Raw genomic sequence first — 22287 nt, forward strand, 5'->3', positions numbered from 1 at the left:
CTATACAGACCAAAAAAAACTTGGAATTTTTATGGGAACTGCATTGAATTATAGATTACTTTGAAGAGAATTGACATCTTTACTATGTTGAGCATTCCAATCCATGAACATGGTATATCTGTCCCTTAATTTAGATAGGTTTTGATGTCTTTCATCCGGGTTTTACAGTTTTCAGCATACAAATCCTATTCATGTTTTGTTGGATTTATACCTAAGTATTTTTCAGTAATTGTAAGTGGAATTGTATTTTTAATTTTAGTTTCCAAATATTTATTGCTGGTATAAATAAATATAATTGATTTTCTGTGTTCATGTTGTATCTTGTGGCTTTGATCAACTCACTTATTAGTTCTAGGAGTTCTTGTAGTTTCCTGGGGCTTTATACATAATCATGCCATCTACAAATAAGGAGAGTTTTATTTCTTCCCTTCCAATCTCTGTGTATTTTATTTTATTTTTGCCTTATTGCACTGCCTAGGACTTCTGACACTATGTTAAATAAGAGTGATGAGACATCACACCCATTAGGATGGCTACAACAAAAACAGAAAATAACAAATGCTGACAAGGACATGGAGAAATTGGAACCCTTGTACACTGTTGGTGAGATGTAAAATGATACAGCCATTATGGAAAACAGTATGGCAGTTCCCCAAAAAATTAAAAATAGGATTACCATATGATCCAGCAATTCCACTTCTGTGTATATACCCAAAAGAATTGAAAGCAGGGACTCAAAGAGGTATTTGTACACCCATGTTCATAGCAGCATTATTTGCAATAACTAAAAGGTGAAAACATTCCAAGTGTCTATTGACTGATAAATGAATAAGACAAATGTGATATATACATGCAACAGAACATTATTCAGCCTTAAAAAAAGAAAGAAAGAATTCTGACCCATGCTACAATATGAATGAACCTTAAGGCCGTTATGCTAAGTGAAATAAGCCAGTCACAAAAGGACAAATATATGATTCTGCCTATATGAGGCATATAGAGTAGTCAAATTCATAGAAACAGTAATATAGCAGTTACCAGGGGCTTGGAGGAGAGGGGAATGGGAGTTATTGTTTGATAAGTAAAGACTTCCAGTTTTGCAAGATGAAAAGAGTTCTGGAGATAGATGGTACTGATGGTAGCACAACAATGTAATGTATTTAATGCCACTGAATTGTATACTTAAAAATGGTTATGATAGGCCAGGCACAGTGGCTAATGCCTGTAATCCCAGCACTTTGGGAGGCCAAGGTGGGCAAATCATCTGAGGTCAGGAGTTCAAAACCAGCTTGAGCAATATGATGAAACCCCGTCTCTACTAAAAATACAAAAATTTGCCAGGCATGGTGGCACGCACCTGTAATCCCAGCTACTCAGGAGGCTGAGACAGGAGAATCGCTTGAACCCAGAAGGCAGAGGTTGCAGTGAGCTGAGATCGCGCCATTGCACTCCAGCCTGGGCAACAAGAGCAAAACTCTGTCTCAAAAAAAAAATGGTTACGATAGTAAATTTTATATTATGTGTATTTCATCCCAATGAAAATAATGAAATAATGAGGGGTGAGAATGAGTATCCTTGCCATGCTTGTGATTTTTAGGAGGAAAAGCAACAAGTATTTCACCATTTTGAGGCTAGCTGAAGGTTTTTCATAAATTTTGTTATCAGGCTGAGAAAGTTTCCTTCAATTTCTAGTTTTCTGAAAGTTTTTTATATCAGGAATGGATGTTAGATTTTGTCAGATGCTTTTTATGCATGATTTTTCTTTTTTAGCCTGTTAATATGATGAATCCCATTGAGAAATTGCAAAATATTTGGCTAACCTTGCATTCCTGGAATAAATCCCACATAGTCATGAAGTATAATTTTTCTTTAATGTGAAACATCTTTATTTACTTTGGACCACCACTCTTCCAGTGAGATTAACTTTTCCACCTTTAACTGCAGTAAAAGATATATTAAGTTGGTGCAAAAGTAATTGCAGTTTTTGCCATTATTTTTAACGACAAAAACCACAATTACTTTTGCATCAACCTAATATAACGTAAAATTTGCCATTTTAACCACGTTTAAGTGTACAATTTAGTGGTATTAATTACATTCACAATGGTGTGCAGCCATCACCACTATGTGTTTTCAAATTTTTTTCAACACCCCAAACAGAAAACCTGTATGCATAAAGCAAATAACATCCCTTCCTCACTCAGCCCTAAGTAATTTCTAATTTCCTTTCTGCCTCTATGAATTTCCCTATTCTCGATATTTCCCATAAGTAGAATCATAAAATATTTGTCTTTTTTGTGTCTGGCTTACTTCACTTAGCCATAATGGTTTCAAGGATAATCGATATAGCAGCATGTATTAGAATTTCATTCTTTTTTATACATGAATAATATTTCATTGCATGTACATATCATATTTTGTTTATTCACTCATCTGTTCATGAACACATGGGTTGTTTCCATCTTTGTGAATAACAGTGTTGTGAATATAGGTCTATAAGTGTCTGCATGAGTCCTTGTTCAGTTCTTTTTTTTGACATGGAGTCTCACTCTGTTGCTGAGGCTGGAGTGCAGTGGCGCAATCTTGATTCACTGCAACTTCTGCCTCCCAGGTTCAAGCCATTCTCCTGCCTCAGCCTGCCGAGTAGCTGGGATTACAGGCATGCACCACCACGCCCTGCTAATTTTTGTATTTTTAGTAGAGATGGGGTTTCTCCGTGTTGGCCAGCCTGGTCTCGAACTTCTGACCTCAAATGATCTGCCCACCTTGGCCTCCCGAAGTCCTTGTTCAATTCATATGGCAACATATTTATTTTTACATATTTTTTATTGCTGTATAAGATTTGCTTTTTTTGTATGTACATTCATAAAAAATATTGGTCTAAACTGGGCACTGTGGCTCATGCCTGTAATCCTAGCACTTTAGGAGGCCAAGGCGGGAGGATCGCTTGAGCCCAGGTGTTCAAGAGTAGCCTGGGCAACATGGCGAAATTTTGTCTCTACAAAAAAATCCAGAAATTAGCCAGGCATGGTGGTGGGCACCTGTAGTCCCAGCTACCCAGGAGGCTGAGGTGGGAGGATCACCTGAGCCCAGGAGGTTGAGGCTGCAGCAAGCTGTGATCATGCCACTGCACCCAGCCTGGGTAAAAGAGTGAAACCTTGTCTCAAAAAAAAAAAAAAAGATAAGAAAAGAAAAGGAAAATACTGGTCTATAGCTTCTCTTTTTCTTTATTTGTTTTCATTCTGCCTTTGTCTGGTTTTGGAATCAGGATAATGCTGACTTTATAAAATGAAATGAAAAGTATTGCTTCCTCTTCTGTTTTCTGGAAGCGATACTAAAGAATTGGTATCAATTCTTCTTTAAATGTTTGCTAGATTTCTACAGTGAAAACATCTGGACACAAAGATTTCCTTCTTGGGAGCCTTTTAATTAGAGATCAAGTTTTTTAAATAGTTATAAGACTACTCATAATATCTATTTCATCTTAGGTGAGCTTTGGCCAAGCGATCCTCCCGCCTTGGCCTCCTAAAGTGCTAGGATTACAGCACTTTGCGGTCTTTGAGCAATTTGTCCATATTGTCTAAGTTGAGTTTATATGCATAGACTCATTCACAGTATTCCCTTATTATTCTTTTAACGTCCATGAGGTCTGTAGTGATAGTGGTCATTTGTGTCTTCTCTCTTTTCTCTTCTTCTGTCTTGCTAAAAGTTTATCAATTTTATTCATCTTTTCAAAGAACCAGCTTTTGATTTTATTGTCTTTATTGCTTTTCTGTTTTCTATGTAATTGATTTCTCCACCTCTTTATGATTTCTTTCCTTCTGCTTGATTTGAGTTTACTTAGCTTTTTCTAGTTTCTTGAGGGAATGCCTTGTTTAGTAATTTGAGACTTTTCCTTCATTTTTTTGTTTTTTTGAGACAGAGTCTCGCTCTGTCATCCAGGCTAGAGTGCAGTGGTGCCATCTCGGCTCACTGCAACCTCTGCCTTCCAGGTTCAAGCGATTTTTGTGCCTCAGCCTCCCAAGTAGCTGGGGTTACAAGTGTGCACCACCACACCTGGCTAATTTTTGTATTTTTAGTAGAGACAAGGTTTCACCATGTTGGCCAGGCTGGTCTTGAACTTCCATCAAATGATTCACCCACCTCAGCCTCCCAAAGTGCTGGGATTACAGGCTTGAGCCACCACATCTGGCCATTTCTTCATTTTTAATATAAGCATTAAGTGCTATAAACTTCTCTCTAAGACTGCTTTAGTTGTATCCCACAAGTTTTGGGGGAGGTTTCTTCCTGTTTTTTTTTTTTGAGACAGGGTCTCATTGTGTCACCCAGGCTGGAGTGCAGTGGTGCTATCACTGCTCACTGCAGCCTCAACCTCCTGGGCTCAAGTGATCCTCCCTCCTCAGCCTCCCAAGTAGCTGGAACTACAGGTGCACACCACCACACCCAGCTAATTTTTAAATTTTTTGTAGGACCGTGTCTCCCTATGTTGCCCAGGCTGGTCTTGAACTCCTGGGCTCAAATGATCCTCCTACTTCAGCCTCCCAAATTGTTGAGATTACAGGCATGAGCCACTATGTCCAACCACGAGTTTTTATATGTTGTATTTTTGTCCTCATTCATTTTGGCTATTTTTTTTTTTTTTTTTTTTGAGATGAAGTCTCACTCTATCGCCCAGGCTGGAGTGCAGTGGCACAATCTTGACTCACTGCAACCTTCACTTCCCAGGTTCGAGCAATTCTCCCTGCCTCTGGCTCCCAAGTAGCTGGGATTACAGATTCCTGCCACCACACCTGGCTAATTTTTTGTACTTTTAGTAGAGACAGGGTTTCGCCATGTTGGCCAGGGTGGTCTGGAACCCCTGACCTCAGGTGATCAGCCCTCCTCAGTCTCCCAAAGTGCTGCGATTACAGGCATGAGCCACCCTGCCCAGCCTAACTTTTGTATTTTTGATAGAGGTGAGGTTTCACCATGTTAGCCAGGCTGGTCTCAAACTCCTGACCTCAAGTGAGCCACCCACCTCAGCCTCCCAAATGCTGAGATTAAAGTGTGAGCCATCACGCCTGGCCTCCATCCATTTACTTTTAACCTACCTATGTCATTATATTTGAAATGAGTTTCCTGTAGACAGCATACAGTTTTTTAAAATATATTCTGCCAATCTCTGTATATAAACCATTTGCATTTAATGTAATTACAGATATATTAGAACTTAAGTCTCCCATCTTATTTTTCTTCTGTTCCTTCTGTTTTTTATTCTTGTTTCCTTTTCATTGCCCTCCTGTGGATTACTAAGCTTTTTTTTAGTGTTTCATTTAGCTTTATCTATAGTTTTTTTTTTTTTAGTATATCTCTTTATATAGTTTTTTAGTGGTTGCTCTGGAATTACAGTATATATATAACATCACAATGCAATAGTATTAATATTTTATCTCTTCAAATGGAATGTAGGAAACATCACAATTTAGGTCCCTTTATCCTCCCTGATTTATAAATATATAGGTATCTTTATTTTGTGGTGGGGGAACAAAGTCTCGCTCCATCACCCCATTTGGAGTGCAGTCACAGCTCACCGCAGCCTCATCTCCCTGTCTCAGGTGGTCCTCCCACCTCAGCCTCCCAAGCAGCTGGGACCATGGGACCACAAGCACCTGCCACCACGCCTGGCTAATTTTTGTATTTTTGGTAGAGATAGGGTTTCGCCATGTTGCCTAGGCTGGTCTCAAATTCCTGAGCTTAAACAATACACCCACCTTGGCTCCCCCAAGTGCTGAAATCATAGGCATGAGCCACCATGCCCGTCCCCACTTTCTTTCTGTTCATCCAGAACATCAGTGATGTGAGTGTTAAAACTTAATGTACTAAAGGTCCCTGGAGCTCTTTTCTTTTCTCTTTTTTTAGAGACAGGGTCTCACATTGTCCCCCAGGCTGGAGTGCAGTGGTGCGATATTGGCTTGCTTTAACCTCCACCTCCCTGGAGTTCTTTTCATTTTTAAAAATCTACTTTCTATCCTTTGTTCATACTTCAATCTATTTGCTACTTACTCTCTGTTGTTCAGAATGAGTAATTTCTATTGACCTATCTTCAAGTTTTCTGATTCTTTCTTCTGCCATCTCCATTCTGCTATTTGGCCCTTTCAGTGAGTTTTACTTCAGTTCTTGTATTTTTCAGTTCTTATATTTCTCTGTTCTAAAATTTCCACTCAATTCTTTATACCTTCTATTTCTTTGATGAAACTTTCTATTAAAAATTTTTGTGTCAGCCAGGTGCAGAGGCTCACTCCTGTAATCCCAGCACTTTGGGAGGCTGAAGTGAGTGGATCACGAGGTCAGGAGATCGAGACCATCTTGGCTAACACGGTGAAACCCCGTCTCTACTACTAAAAATACAAAAAATTAGCCAGGCGTGGTGGCAGGTGCCTGTAGTCCCAGCTACTCAGGAGGCTGAGGCAGGAGAATGGCATGAACACGGGAGGTGGAGCTTGCAGCCACTGCACTCCAGCCTGGGCGACAGAGCAAGACTCTGTCTCAAAAAAAAAAAAAAATTGTGTCAAAAGTATTCATGATTGTTTGTTGAAGCATTTTTATGACAATTACTTTAAAATTATTGTCAGAGAGCCAGGCATGGTGGCTTACACCTGTAATCCCAGCTACTCGGAAAGCCAAAGAGGGACGATTATTTGAGGCCAGGAGTTTGAGGCCAGCCTGAGCAACAAAGTGAGATTTCACCCATATCTTAAAAAGCAAATAAATAAAAATTTTTTAAATATTTTTGTCCAATAATTTCAATATTTGTATCATTTTAGTGTTGGCATCTATTGATTGGCTTTTCCCATTCCACTTGAGATTTTCCTAGTTCTTGAGATGATGAGTATAACAAGTTATTTTCTCTTGTATCCTGGACTTTTGAGACATTACATTATGAAATGCTGGTTTCTTTTTTAATCTTGTCATTGCTGAGGCAATAATCAGAGCTCTGTTCACACATTTCTGGTGCTAGTCACCTTACACAGTGAACAAATCACAAGTTTTGGGTAATTTGTTACATAGTAATTGTAACGAGACACACACACACACACACACACACACAAACAAGCCTATTTGTACATAAAAGAAGAAATTGTCTACGTGTGCAGGTATAATTCTTTTGCTCCTTGGGCCCCAGGACAGCAGTAGAGTAAAAATGGCTGTGTGGGGTCCTTGGTGGGGTGGGAATTAGAGGTGATAGGGCCCCCACCATAGTTTAGGTGACCTGAAAGCTGGGCTGTATATCTGTTTTAGTGCATTTGTGTTGCTATAAAGGAATACCTGAGGCTGGGCAATTTATAATGAAAAGAGGCTTATTTGGCTCACAGTTCCGCAGGTTGTACAAGACGCATGGCACTGGCATCTGTTCCTGGTGAGGGCATCGGGCTGCTTCCACTCAGGATGGAAGGCAAAGGGGAGCTGCATGTGTGGAGACCATGTGGCAAGAGAGGAAGCAAGAGAGATGAGAGGTGCCAGGCTCTTTTTAACAAGCAGCTCTTGAGAAACCTAACAGAGTGAGGACTCACACATTACCTCAAGGATGGCACCAAACCATTCACAATGGATCTGCCCCCAGGACCCAAACACCTCCGACTAAGCTCCACCTCCCAACATTGCCATACTGGGGATTAAACTTTTTTTTTTTTTTTTTTTGAAACAGAGTCTCACTCTGTCACCCAGGCTGAGTGCATGATCTCAGCTCACTGCAACCTCCACTTCCCGGGTTCAAGCGATTCTCGTGCCTCAGCCTCCCGAGTAGCGCCACCACACCTGGCTAATTTTTTGTATTTTTAGTAGAGACAGGGTTTCACCCTGTTGGCCAGGCTGGTCTTGGACTCCTGACCTCAGATGATCTGCCTGCCTCGGCCTCCCAAACTGCTGGGATTACAGGTGTGAGCCACCACGCCCAGCCCTTATTTTTTTTTTTTTTTAATTTGTAGAGATGAGGTCTTGCTATGTTGCCCAGGCTGGGCTCAAACTCCTGGGCTCAAGCAATCCTCCCTTCTCAGCCTCTCAAAGTGCTGGGATTATAGGCATGAATAATCGTGCCAGGCCAAAGACAAGTTTTAACAGTCAGCTCTCTGGCCACAAATTATTTATATTCCTTCCACATGCAAAATAGACTCATGTCTTTCCTCAACCTCAAAAATCTCATCTACTATGGCAGGCTCAGATGCAAGCCCCAGGATCTCATCATCTAAATCAGATCCAAGTGTTGGGGAGGCTACAGTATTGCCAGCATATAGACCCTCGAGCACTTCTGGAGAGAGGGATACAGGTGCAACTATTTGGGAGAGCAAAGGATGAATATGTAGAGCTGTGCTGCCCATCATGATAGCCACTAGCCACATACAGTAATTAAATTTAAATAAAATGAAATAAATTGAAAATTCAGTTCCTGCATTGCACTTGCCAAATTTTAAATACCTAACAGCCACATTGGACCGTAAAGATGCACAATATTTCTGTCATTGCAGAAAGTTCTAATGAACAGCACTGATTAGACCATATAAGCACAGGTATGCCCTGTGACCCAGCAATCTTCAGTTCAGGTTCTCCCAAAAGCATATCCTGAAGCCAAAGATGCAGGTGGCTTATTTGGGAGCTGTTTCCCAGAAGCACAAGCGAGTGGGGAAACTGAGCCAGGAAGAGCAAAAAGCCAATAAATGGTGCAGAGTCTGGAGTAGAGGGAGGCACCTAGAGCACTTCCCTGACTCAGAGTGAGCACCTCCTTAATTTTTGTTTGTTTGTTTGTTTGTTGAGACAGAGTCTCACTCTGTCACCCAGGCTGGAGTGCTGTGGCACAATCTCGGCTCACTGCAGCCTCCGCCTCCCAGGCTCAAGCGATTCCTGTGACTCAGCCTCCTGAGTAGCTGGGTTTACAGGCACATGCCACCACACCCAGCTAATTTTTGTATTTTTAGTAGAGACAGGGTTTCACCATGTTGGCCAGGCTGGTCTCGAACTCCTGGGCTCAGGTGATCTGCCCACCTCGGCCTCCCAAAATGCTGGGATTACAGGTGTGAGCCACCACGCCTGGCCCCCTGCTTAAATTTTGACTCTGGTCCCCTAATTTGACCCACCCTAATTCCAGCCCCCAAAAAGGCTACTGCTGTGAGCAGCTAGAAGTCATTTGTTCTGGGGACAGTCAGAAGATCAAGGAGTCATGTAGAAGTCGCCCGAGAATTGACCCTCCAAGGGAAAGGGAAGCTGCAGTATTTATTCCATTGCTTTCAGCCCTCACTGTTTGAGGACTGCTACTGGGGGAATCAATCCTGCTACTTCCAGTCCATTCTGCATGTGGGCAGTAGAAAGGCCTTGGTCTCCAGCAGAGAAGCAGAAAGATCCAAGCACGTGAGGCAGGAAACTGTCAGCCTGTGTGGGAACTGACCACCATATCCACAAGCCGAGGGGATACAGTAGAGGGCATCAGCTGGTGTGCTACCGTATATTCCAGAAAGCCGCCCACCCAGAGGACAGGTGTGAGCCTTATGGTAATGGGGAGCTAGAGGCAACCTAAGTGTCCATCACTGGGGGAATAGGTAAGTAAAAGTGCTGTGGTTGTATACACCATGAAATACAGTGCACAGGAAACTTGATGTACACAGCTTGTGAAGAGATCTCAGAAGCAGTGTTAAGTTAAAAAATAAAAAAGAAAGAAGTAGAAGATTTATAGCACAATTCCACTTATGTAAATTGGAAACACATACACACACGAGATCACAAATTATAAAGATACATCTTTGCAGCTATTTATCAAGTGCATTATAGTGGGTGTCTGTGGGGGTGCGATGGGAATGGGAATTGGCAATGGAGGAATAAAAGCCTTGGAGGGTCTTTCATGGGCCAATTGTGATCCTGTGTTATGATCTGAAGAGTATGATTAATAACTTTCTGCACCAAAGGGCTAAGAAAAAAAATAAAGGAGTGAAAATAGGAAATGTCTGCACATCAGAGCAGTTTCTTACCTGCTACACAATTACTATTACTGCAGGGATGATGATAGCAAGGCAACCAGACTCACCGCCTGCCTTCTCTCCAGGCAGCCCCTCCAGTCCCCAGGAAATGCGCTTGCCCCCAGCGAATAAGGAGTTCCCTACCCCTCTCATGCTACCCAGAGGGACAGAAAGGAGAAGTGGGCCTGCTACCCCCAGAGGTTCTCATCTTCTACCTGGGCTGCATATGGAATAGGGAGCAAGTACATAGGACTCATCATACCCCATTTCTGCCTCTATCCCACTGTGGGACCTTAGGCAAGTCACTTTGCCTTCCTATGCCTCAGTTATCTCACTAGTAAAATGGGCATGATTATTGTATTAGTCAGGGTTCTCCAGAGAGACAGAACAAATAGGATGTTTGGATAAATAGATGATAGATAGAGAGATATAGACTAGATAGATGAGAGAGATAGACTAGATAGAGAGAGAGAGAGAGAGAGAGAGAGAGAGAGACTAGATAGATGAGAGAGAGATAGGAGGGGATTTATTAGGGGAATTGGCTCAGACAATTAGGGAGGCTAAGAAGTTCCACAACAGGCCATCTGCAAGCTGGAGAACCAGGGAAGCTTGTAGTGCAGCTCAGTTCCAGAATAAAAGCCTCAGGACTTAGGGGGTAGCTAGTGCAAGTCCCAGCATTTTTTTTTTTTCTGAGATGGAGTCTCACTCTGTTGACCAGGCTGGAGTGCAGTGACATGATCTCAGCTCACTGCAGCCTCCGCCTCCAGGGTTCAAGCGATACTCCTGCCTCAGCCTCCCAAGTAGCTGGGACTACAGGCCTGTGCCACCACGCCTGGCTGATTTTTATATTTTTAGTAGAGATGGGGTTTCACCATGTTGGCCAGGCTGGTCTCGAACTCCTGACCTCAAGTGATTCACCTGCCTCAGCCTCCCAAACTGCTGGGATTACAGGCGTGAGCCACCATGCCCAGCTGCACATCCCAGCATTCAAAGACCAAAGAGCCTGGAGTTCTGATGTTTAAGGGCAGGTGCAGGGTGTCCCAGCTCATAAGAGAGAGCAAATTCTCCTTTCCTCTGCCTTTTTGTTCTATTCAGGCCCTCGGCCAATTGGATGGTGCCCACCACATTGGGTAACAACGGGTCTTCCTTACTCAGTCCATTGATTCAAATGCCAATCTCTTCTGGAAACACCCCAGAGTCATACCCAGAATTAACGCATCACCAGCTATCTGATAAACTTAACCAGTCAAGGTGACACCTAAAATTAACCATCACAATTATAAAAATAACTACTCAGAGAAACATTAGGAGCATGAACTGAAATTAGTTAATGGGACATTCTTAAACCAATGGCAGAAGCTCCTTCTTGGCCAGGAGCAGTGGCTCATGCCTTTAATACTAGCACTTTGCGAGGCTGAAGCAGGAGGATGGCTTAAGGCCAGGAGTTCAAGACTGGCCTGGGCAACATAGTGAGACCCCTATCTCTACAAAAATAAATAAATAAATAATAAAGTAAGGTGGTGGCTCACGCCTGTAATCCCAGCACTTTGGGAGGCCAAGGCAGGCAGATCATCTGAAGTCAGGAGTTCGAAGCCAGCGTGACCAACATAGTAAAACCCAGTCTCTACTAAAAATACAAAAACTAGCCAGGCGTGATGGCATGCACCTGTAATCCCAACTACTTAGGAGGCTGAGGCAGGAGAATCGCTTCAACTCGGGAGGCAGAAGTTGCAGTGAGCCAAGATTGCACCATTGCACTCCAGCCTGGGCAACAAGAGCAAAACTACGTCTCAAAAAATAATAATAACAATAAAATAAAAAACAAGCTTTTTTTTTTTTGAAACAGGATCTCACTCCATCACCCAGGCTGGAGTGCAGTGGCACGATCTTGGCTCACTGCAACCTCCGCCTCCCGGGTTCAAGTGATTCTCATGCCTCGGCCTCCTGAGTAGCTGAGACCACAGGCGCATGCCACCACACCTGGCTAATTTAGAATAAAAAAGAAGCTTCCTCTCTGCCACTCAGGTAGCCTTATCCCTAATCTCAGCCTCCGTCAGGGACTCCCTGAGGCCAGTTGGCTGAAAGCTGCCCAGGGAGTTCTAAGGATTTCAGTTTCTCTTTCCTTCTTGATGCAGCTCCCAGCTCACTTGGCCCTGCCCACACCTGTTCCCTCATCAGGCTCCCAGACGGGCCCCGCCCACTCATGCCTCTTAAGTCAAAGTGGAAATTCTCATTTCCAATTACCTTTTCACTTTACACACATCATCTTGGATTGCCCATTTTGCGTGGCTAAAAAGCAGAGCCATGCCGCTGGGGAAGCAGTTGCGATTTAGCCATGGCTGCAGCTTGGACCGTGGTGCTGGTGACTTTGGTGCTAGGCTTGGCCGTGGCAGGCCCTGTCCCCACTTCCAAGCCCACCACAACTGGGAAGGGCTGCCACATTGGCAGGTTCAAATCTCTGTCACCACAGGAGCTAGCGAGCTTCAAGAAGGCCAGGGACGCCTTGGTGAGTTCCTGTTGCTGTGGATGAACCACTTCTACGGGTGTCCCAATTACTGCCCTTCTACTGTGGGCTAGCCTCTAGCCTTCCAACTATGGCAAACCTCTATCCTTTCTGCACTGGGTTAAACCCATGCTGTCAGGCCAACTTCATCCTTGCTGCTATGAGCTAGCTTCCAGCCATCCTGCTGTGGGCTAACCCCTGCCCTTGCTCTCTAGGAAGAGTCACTCAAGCTGAAAAACTGGAGTTGCAGCTCTCCTGTCTTCCCCGGGAATTGGGACCTGAGGCTTCTCCAGGTGAGCTGAAAGTCAGGCCCCCTTCACCCTTCCCTTGACCCTCTCCCCCCTCTTCTTAAGTGGCCCCTTAGCCTTCTTTGTTTCCCTTGTCCTTCACTCTCTTGGACCTCTCCTCACCTGTCCTGTGCCCCTGCCACTTCAAAACTGCTCTCTTGACTCTGTCCTTCCCCTGGGTCCCTTTTATCATCTCCCATCGGCCCCACTTCCCTAGCTCGCTCACCTGTCCCTGTCACTTCCACTCTCACTCTTCATTTCTCTCCCAAATGTCTCCAGTCTGTCGCCCACCTGTGCCTTTCGTCCTGCTCCACTTCTCCCTGTCTGTTCCCAACACTGACCCCCTCTCCCTCTCACCTGCCTCTGTCACCTGTCCCTCATTATCTCTCACTGACATTCATCCAGCTCATGCTCCCCCCTCATCCACCCTTCTCTTTTTTTTTTTTTTTTTTTTTTTTTTGAGACAGAGTCTTGCTCTATGGCCCAGGCTGGAGTGCAGTGGCATGATCTCGGTTCACTGCAACCTCTGCCTCCCGGGTTCAAGCAATTATCCTGCCTCAGCCTCCCGAGTAGCTGGGATTACAGGCATGTGCCATGATGCCCAGCTAATTTTTGTATTTTTAGCAGAGACGGGGTTTCACTATGTTGGCCAGGCTTGGTCTCGAAATCCTGACCTCAGGTGATCCACCCGCCTCGGCCTCCCAAAGTGCTGGGATTACAGGCGTGAGCCACCACACCCAGCCCTACCCTTCTTCTCTGTGCATGCAACTGTCCCTCTCTTACTGTGCCCCCAACCTGCTTTCTCCTCACCCGTCCCCACCCCGCCCCAGAGAACTTCTGTGACCCCCGTAAGTCCCCTTTCATTTGTCTCCATTTCACTTATCCCCTCACCTGCCTCCTTGACCATCCTGCCTCACCTGTATCCTTCCTCATGTCTTCCCCCTCCTGTCTCCTTCTCCCCAGACCCCTCACCTGTCCCCACCACATGCACTGTGTCACCGACCTTCCCCAGGACTGCCTACCTGTCCCCACTAACTGGGTCTTCTTGCCTGTTCTCCCTCACCTGCTCTTTCTCACCTCTCCTCAGGTGAGGGAGCGCCCTGTGGCCTTGGAGGCTGAGCTGGCCCTGACGCTGAAGGTCCTGGAGGCCGCTGCTGGCCCAGCCCTGGAGGACGTCCTAGACCAGCCCCTTCACACCCTGCACCACATCCTCTCCCAGCTCCAGGCCTGTGTGAGTCCTTGGGGCCCGGGCACCCAGGTCTGTGGGCTCTGAGCAGCATCCTTCCCCTGTGGTGGCCCAGGCTCCGCCTCACACACCGCCCTCTTCTGCCCACAGATCCAGCCTCAGCCCACAGCAGGGCCCAGGCCCCGGGGCCGCCTCCACCACTGGCTGCACCGGCTCCAGGAGGCCCCCAAAAAGGTGAGTGACCCAGGAAGAGAAGGACCAGGGTCTGGGGAGCCAATAGGAGCCCAGACCCTGGACAGCCCCTGACCCATCCCCTCCTCCCCTACAGGAGTCCGCTGGCTGCCTGGAGGCATCTGTCACCTTCAACCTCTTCCGCCTCCTCACGCGAGACCTCAAATATGTGGCCGATGGGAACCTGTGTCTGAGAACGTCAACCCACCCTGAGTCCACCTGACACCCCACACCTTATTTATGCGCTGAGCCCTACTCCTTCCTTAATTTATTTCCTCTCACCCTTTATTTATGAAGCTGCAGCCCTGACTGAGACATAGGGCTGAGTTTATTGTTTTACTTTTATACATTATGCACAAATAAACAACAAGGAATTGGAACCTTCTGTGATAGGTGAATCCTTGAGTGTGTGTGTGATTGTGGGTCTGTGACTGGGTGTGGATGTCTGGGTGATGCAGGCAAAATTTGTGACTCGTTGTGTATATTTGTGTGTGCCTGACTTCTGTGACTATGTATGTATTTGTATGGAAATGAGTGTCTGCCTGAACTTGAGTCTAACCAAAGGTGCGTAACTGTGCATGTTCATGCCCACACGTGTGCAAGTATGTGTGTGTACTGCCAGGCATGGTGGCTCACACCTGTAATCCCAGTGCTTTGGGAGGCTGAGGCAGGCAGATCACTTGAGGTCAGGAATTTGAGACCAGCTTAGCCAACATGGTGAAACCCTGTCTCTACTAAAAGTACAAAAATTAGCCGGGAGTTGTGGCATGACCCCGTAATCCCAGCTACTCGGGAGGCTGAGGCAAGAGAAATGCTTGAACCCGGGAGGTGGAGGTTGTGGTGAGCCGAGATCACATCACTGCACTCCAGCCTGGCCACCAAGAGAGAAACTCCATCTTAAAAAAAAAAAAAAAAAAAAAAAAAAAAAAAAAAAAAAGGCCAGCCTCCGTGGGCTCAGGCCTGTAATCCTAGCACTTTGGGAGGCCAAGGCGGGCAGATCACTTGAGGTCGGGAGTTTGAGACCAACCTGACCAACATGGAGAAACCCCATCTCTACTAAAAATACAAAAATTAGCCGGGTGTGGTGATGCATACCTGTAATCCCAGCTACTCGGGAAGCTGAGGCAGGAGAATCGCTTGAACCCGGGAGGTGGAGGTTGTGGTGAGCGGAGATCACGCCATTGCACTCCAGCCTGGGCAACAAGAGTGAAACTCCGTCTCGAGAAAGAAAAAAAAAAAAAGAAAGAAAAGAAAAGAAAAGCGGTCAGGATGCTACATCCTGGAACCTAACCACAATGGTGTGAGAAGCCCAGACATACAGAGAGACCACATATAGGTACTCCATCTGATAGTCCCAGTATAGCTTTTGAATCACCCCAGCTCAGGAACCAGACATGCGAGTGAAGAAGCATTTAGATGACTCTAGGTCCCAGCTGGAGCAGAGACAAGCCATCACCACTGGGCCCTGATTAAGTTCCTGACCCACAGAAACTGTGAGCATAATAATATTTGTTTTACGCCACTAAGTTGGGTTTGTTATAAGGCAAGAAATCATTGAAACAGTGAGAGAGCCACCAGCCCATCACAATTCACTGTGAGGTGTGTCACAAGAAATTTATTACCAAAATAACTCATCAGAGTTTCTTTTTTGGGTTGGGGAGAGGGGGACAGCGCCTGGCTCCATCGCCCAGGCTGAAGTGCAGTAGTACGATCTATCTCAGATCACTGCAATCTCCACCTCCTAGTTTCAAACCGTCCTCCCACCTCAGCTTTCCGAGCAGCTGGGACTACAGGCATGTGCCTCCACCCCCACTTAATTTTTGTAATTTTTGCAGAAACGGGGTTTCGCTATGTTGCCCAGACTGGTGTCGAACTCCTGGACTCAAGAAATCCTCCTGCCTCGGCCTACCAAAGTGCTAGGACTACAGGCGTCAGCCACCACACCAGCTCCACCAAGGTTTCTGAATGGTTGACTTTTTGTTACATTACAGGGGATTCAGAATAAAATTCCATTCTTATAATCCTATAACTCTCACTTCTTTGTATCGTTTGTTTGTTTGAGACGGAGTCTTGCTCTGTCACCCAGGCTGGAGTGCAATGACAAGATCTCAGCTCACAGCAACCTTCACCTCCTGGGTTCAAGCGATTCTCCTGCCTCAGCCTCCTGAGTAGCTGGGACTACAGGCACATGCCACCACTCCCAGCTAATTTTTGTATTTTTAGTAGAAGCAGGGTTTCACCATGTTGGCCAGGCTGGTCTCGAACTCCTGGCCTCAAGTGATCCTCCCACCTCGGCCTCCCAAAGTGCTGGAATTATAGGCATGAGCCACGGCTCCCAGCCTCCTTTGCACTCTTGAGTATTTTCTTGATTAGGAGTCAGAGGGCTGAAGTACAGCCATACACAGAAATTACACACAACCAACGGGCAAAAGTTGAAGCACTCCCTTTGATAACCAAAAACAAGTTAAATGTTCCCAGGTGTGGTGGCTCACGCCTATAATCCCTGCACTTTAGGAGGCCTAGGTGGGAGGACTGTTTGACCGCAGAAGTTAGAGACCAGCCTGAGCAACATAGCGACCACATCTTCACAAAAAAACTTAAAAATTAGGTAGGCATGGTGGCACATGCCTGTAGTCCCAGTCCCAGGAGGATGGCTCGAGTCCAGGAGGTTGAGGCTGTAGTGAGCCATGATCGTGCCACTGCACTCCAGCCTGGGTGACAAAGTAAGACTGTCTCAAAAAAAGAAAGAGAGAGAGAGAGAGAAAGAAAGGGGAGTTAAACGTAAAAAAGCTATTTGTAAATGTCTTAAAAATTTACACATAACCTCACAGCCATTCCCACTACATTATAAAGTCTGTGACTAGCAGAACCTCAGTTTGGGTAGGGGGCAGCATGGTGCCCTGCCCAGGACATGAATTTCTGTCCCTTTTGCCTGATACCTGCTTTCCCAGGCTCCCTCGCAGCTCAGGGTGGCCATGAAATTAAGGGCTTCTTAAATAATTTATGCTGGGTACAGTGGCTCACTCCTGTAATCCTAGCACTTTGGGAGGCTGAGGCAGGCAGATCACTTGAGGTCAGGAGTTTGAGAACAGCCTGCCCAACACGGCGAAACTCCATCTCTACTAAAAATACGAAAATTAGCCGGGTGTGGTGGTGCGTGCCTGTAACCCCAGCTACTCGGGAGGCTGAGGGGCAGGAGAATCGCTTGAACTCAGGAGGCAGAGGTTGCAGTGAGCCGAGATGGTGCCACTGCACTCCAGCCTGGGTGACAAAGCAAGACTCCGTCTCAAAAAAAAAAAAAAAAAGTTAATTTATGTAAAAAATGTAACAGAGCTTGGCAAAGGCGGAGCCCCATACATGTGTTTGTTGCTGTTACTCTTATTATTTTAACATATTTTTCTTCCTTAATACAAACAGAACTCTTTCCCACTTGTTCCCTTCCTTCCTGCTTAGTTCATTGGTATGAGGATGTGAGACCCAGAGCTATGGCAACCATTTTGTGACCACAAGGCAACAAGTTTAGGGTGTGAAGCTATCATTTTGAGGAAGGTAGAACAAAAGAGTAGAAAACGGGGTCCTTGCTGATATTAATAAGCCATTGCACCAAACCCCAGAATCCCCTAACTCCAGACTTACTCTTAGGTGACATAACTGAATGTCTTTCTTGCTTAAGTCGTGTTAATTGGATTTTTCTGTTTCTTGTGGCCAAATGTATCCCCACAAATTCATCTCTGCATGGCCAGCACTGAACCCAGAGAATGTGGTCAATTAATATTTCATAAAAATTTTAATCATATAGGACATGTCTGAGCCCAGGCATATGAGTCTCTTCAATTATGAATGTTGCAATGGAAGAAAACAAGGTTGCAAATCTCTACTTGGAGATGCCAAGGCTTTATAGAAGAGATTTTGAACTGGATATATTTTAGTTTTGCCTGAGCAGCATCCATTACTCCTGGTAACAGTGCTTCAATTTTCCTTCGGAAATGACCTCCTTTCCTACTCCCTCATTTGGCTGGACACATGACTCCAATTTGATCAATTAGAGCAAGCACTCCATCTCCAGAGCACAGTAACAAGTTTTCCTTGTCCTCTCTCATGGTGGCCTTTGCTTAAGTGGTTCCCTCTGCTTAGGACAGTTCCCACCACTCTCCCACGACCAAGTCTTCACCTGGCTCATTTCCACAATATCACTTCCTCCTCCAAAAATCCTTCTGCATAGTACACCGGGGTTTCTATTGCTTTATTTTTTATTTTATATATATATGTGTGTATATATATATATATATGTGTATATATATATATATATGTGTGTATATATATATATATTTGTGTATATATATATATATATATATTTTTTTTTTTTTTTTTTTTTTTTGAGACAGAGTCTAGTTCTGTCACCCAGGCTGGAGTGCAGTGGTGCGATCTTGGCTCACTGCAACCTCCACCTCCCAGGTTCAAGTGATTCTCGTGCCTCATCCTCCTGAGTAGCTGGGATTACAGGCACCCGCCACCATGCATGGCTAATTTTTGTACTTTTAGTAGAGACAGGATTTTACCATGTTGGCCAGGCTGGTCTCGAACTCCTGACCTCAGGTGATCCACCCGCCTCAGCCTCCCAAAGTGCTGGGATTACAGGCATGAGCCACTGTGTCCAGCCTCTATTGCTTTTATATGCTCAACAAGCTTTCTTATTTTTTTTTCTTTTTTGAGACTAGCATATTACAGCAACAAGCTTTCTTTGTTTTATTTTTTTTTAAGATCTTGCTCTGTCATCCAGGCTGGAGTGCAGTGGCTCAATCATAGCTCACTGCTGCCTCAAACTCCTGGGCTCAAGACCACCTCCTGAGTAACTGGGACTACACGTACACACCACCATGCTTGGCTAATTTTTTATTTTTATTTTTGTAGAGACAGAGTCTCGCCATGTTGCCCAGGCTGGTCTCAAGCTCCTAGCCTCAAGTGATCATCCCACCTTGGCCTCCCAAAGTTCTGGAATTACAGGTATGAGCCACCACACCCAGCCAACAAGATTTCTTATCCTACTTTTTCTGGAGAGTATTTACCTTCAACCACATAAAATTGCCAATACTATACAATGTGTGACCTACAAAAATGGCAAGTTCATGTGGTTCAACCTAATATTTAGCAATCCCTACTTCCCAGGACACACAACCGGGACATAGGACCCACCCACCCCCTACCTGGCCAATCAAAGCATTCCATTCATTCCCTTGGATGCGGCAATCAGTGCAGGGGTTGCTATGTGACCTCGGCCAGGCCGATAAGAGCTCTTCCCTGAGATTTTTCTCTTAGGACTAGAGATTCTGCCATTTTATCTCTGGGCTCTGGAAAGATTGAGTCTGTGTCTGTAAATAAATGACCATTTTCCCCCGCCACATGCAGTTGAAAGGGATGAGTCTGAGCTGAGCCAAGCAGAGAAGAGAGCTGTGTAGGGAGAGTGTCTTGGTGGGGTTGAGTCTGGGTTCCTTTCTCTAAAGCTCTGTTCCTTGTAGCTTTGCAATCACCCCACAACTTTTTCTTTTTTTTTTTATTTTTGAGACGGAGTCTCACTCTGTCACCCAGGCTGGAATGCAGTGATGTAATCTCAAGTGATTCTCCTGCCTCAGCCTTTCAAGTAGCTGAAATCACAGGCACCCACCATGCCCAGCTGATTTTTGTATTTTTAGTAGAGATAGGGTTTCACCATGTTGGCGAGCCTGGTCTCGAACTCCTGACCTCAGGCGATCCTCCCACCTTGGCCTCCCAAAGTGCTGGGATTACGTGTCAGTCACTGCACCCACCCCCAATTCTGTTTTGAAGGTAGGCATACCTCACCCCAAAGCTGGGGTCTCCATAGAAATCAGACCACATACCACCCCTGGTAAAGACCCTTCATTGGCTTCCCATGGCCCCAAAGAATAAAATGTTAACTCTTGACCACACCTCACAAGGTTCTGTAGAACCCACTTGCTTCTCCCACCTACTCTCCTCTCACTCTTCCCACTTCAGTCCAGACACACTGCCTCCAACACATCAAGCACACTACTTCCTAAGGGTCTTTGCACATGCTGTTCCCTTTGCCAGGAATGCTTTTCCCTGCTTTTCTCACAATGCATTTATTTAGCTCTGTCATCACCATCCTTCACCCTCCCACCTAAAGTAGGCCTCAAAGTCATTCTCTATGCCATCATCCTGTTTTCATTCTTGGCACAACATTTATTTGCCACTGGACATGCATTATTTACTCGTTTTTGTTTGCTTGTTTTTTGGGTCTCACTCTGCCACACAGGCTGGAGTGCAGTGGTGCAATCAGGGCTCATTGCAGCCTCAACCTCCTGGACTCATTTAATTGCTTATTTGTTTATTTCTCCTCCCTCTAGAATATAGGCACCACGGAGCAGGGCTTTCTTGTTTTGTTTCATCTATTTTGTTCACTGCGATAGCCCCTACATAGGACCAGTTACATAATACATGCTCAATAATGCTTTATCAAGTGAATTAGAGACAAGATTCCTGATGGTTCTGTGTGCAGGTTGGAGGCAGTCAGCTTTCCAATCATGGCTCTGCTGTTAACTGGCTGTGTGATCTTGGAGATGCTCCTTAACCTCTCTGAGCTTCAGTTTCCTCATCTTGAAAATTGTGTGCACACACTGCATATACCTGTGCAGGCTTTAAATGCAGTCATACTTATTATTGGAGTAACTCCATTTCCTAAGCATTATGTGCCATGCACTGGGTTGCATGCTCTTTATCCGTGCATCAGGGAGGGTTTGGGAGCACTGTGCCTGGCTTGTGAAAAGCCCTCAGTACCTAGGAGTCGTCATGACTGACACAAATGAGGGTGGTTGGGCTCCTGGGTGAGGAAGCCTCCTGGCCTGTGATTCTCTGGTGCCTCTGTCCTAGCAGCCTCCCACCCTGTCTGCCTAGATCCATCCCCCTCCCTCCTGCTCCGTTTCTATTTCTGTCTTTCTCTCCTCCTCCCCTGGCCTCAGGGGGCCCCTGGCTGGCAAGAAGCCTTCCTCCTTCTTCCCCAAGATCAGGAAGGTGTTATCACTGCAGGGCCCCTGCAAGGACTGGGATGTCTGTCCCTCTCCTCTCCCCAACCAGCTTTCCTTCCCCAGCCACAGCCCTCAGCCTCACCTGAGAAACTCCTCTCCCCACACCATCCTCCATGCCCTCCGCCAGGGTCCCTCAGATTCCAGGCAGAGCGACACAAGAGGTCTTGTCCCTGAGCTCACCAGGCTAGCTGTGGATATCCAAGCTCAGCTAAGCTCATGGGGGCCATACCCCAGCTTCCGGACACAGACCCCAGAGGCAGCATAGTGTAGGGGTACAATCAAACTTCCAGCTCCGCTATTTATTCATTGGGGGGATGGAGGGACTACGGCAAGTGACTTCATCTCTCTGTGGTTCAGGTTCTTGTCTGTAAAATGGGACCAAGGATAGATCTACCCTACCCCACTGAGTTGTGAGGTCTCAGAGGGTGGAATGAATATTCAATAACTGCTCAGCAGTACAGTGCTCTAGTTGAGTATTAAAGGAGTTCAGGGAATGTCACCCCAAAATATGGCACCCTGGTATGCTGATTATTTTAAATTAAAGGCACTTAGAGATCCATAGATGCTGGAAGAGGCTTTCCTCCTATGTCTTCTTATCTGCCTAAAGATCAAAAAGAACACAAGTGCCTTCTGTCCTCTCCCTGACATTTCATTATCTTTAACAGGAAAAAAAGACAGAGAAATGTCTACACCTGGACGGACTTTGTCACAAGAAATTATCTGTCTGTCAGTCTCAAATTCCAGAGACATTTACAAGCTAAATTCTATCTCCTGGACCCATTTATTTTCCCCAAAATCATTTATTACCCCTCAAAATTGCCTTCCTTTCCCCATCTCCCCTCCTGTGAAGAAAGGTATATAAGTATATAAACCTCACTGGGTTATTGGGTAATCACTTTCCTGTGATTTTCCTAGTGCATGTTAAATACCCTCCATATTCCTTTTCTCTTGTTAATCTATTGTCAGCCCATTCCAGTGAAATTTCAGAGAGTGAAGGGGAAGCTGTCTTTTCACCCCTATAGTAGAGACTCAGAAGTTG

The 22287-nt window shown here is 45.3% G+C and overlaps 1 protein-coding gene across 1 annotated transcript; it reads left to right on the forward strand.

Moving 5' to 3' along the window:
- The first annotated feature begins 12300 nt into the window (after positions 1-12300).
- On the forward strand, positions 12301-14567 carry IFNL1 (interferon lambda 1). Its single transcript, NM_172140.2, has 5 exons — positions 12301-12486; positions 12699-12776; positions 13858-14001; positions 14107-14190; positions 14285-14567. Exons 1-5 carry the CDS (start codon positions 12316-12318, stop codon positions 14408-14410), a joined length of 603 nt encoding a protein of 200 aa, NP_742152.1. The 5' UTR covers positions 12301-12315; the 3' UTR covers positions 14411-14567.
- Positions 14568-22287: the final 7720 nt, after the last annotated feature.

Source organism: Homo sapiens, chromosome 19 (assembly GCF_000001405.40).
Source record: "Homo sapiens chromosome 19, GRCh38.p14 Primary Assembly".
Classification (NCBI taxonomy): domain Eukaryota; kingdom Metazoa; phylum Chordata; class Mammalia; order Primates; family Hominidae; genus Homo; species Homo sapiens.

Bases quoted from the DNA above. Each gene is read 5' to 3' on its own strand.
- IFNL1 (NM_172140.2), top strand. From the start codon at position 12,316: ATGGCTGCAGCTTGGACCGTGGTGCTGGTGACTTTGGTGCTAGGCTTG. The intron at 12,487-12,698 runs GTGAGTTCCTGT...CTTGCTCTCTAG, and splicing joins AGAAGGCCAGGGACGCCTTG to GAAGAGTCACTCAAGCTGAA. The intron at 14,002-14,106 runs GTGAGTCCTTGG...TTCTGCCCACAG, and splicing joins TCTCCCAGCTCCAGGCCTGT to ATCCAGCCTCAGCCCACAGC.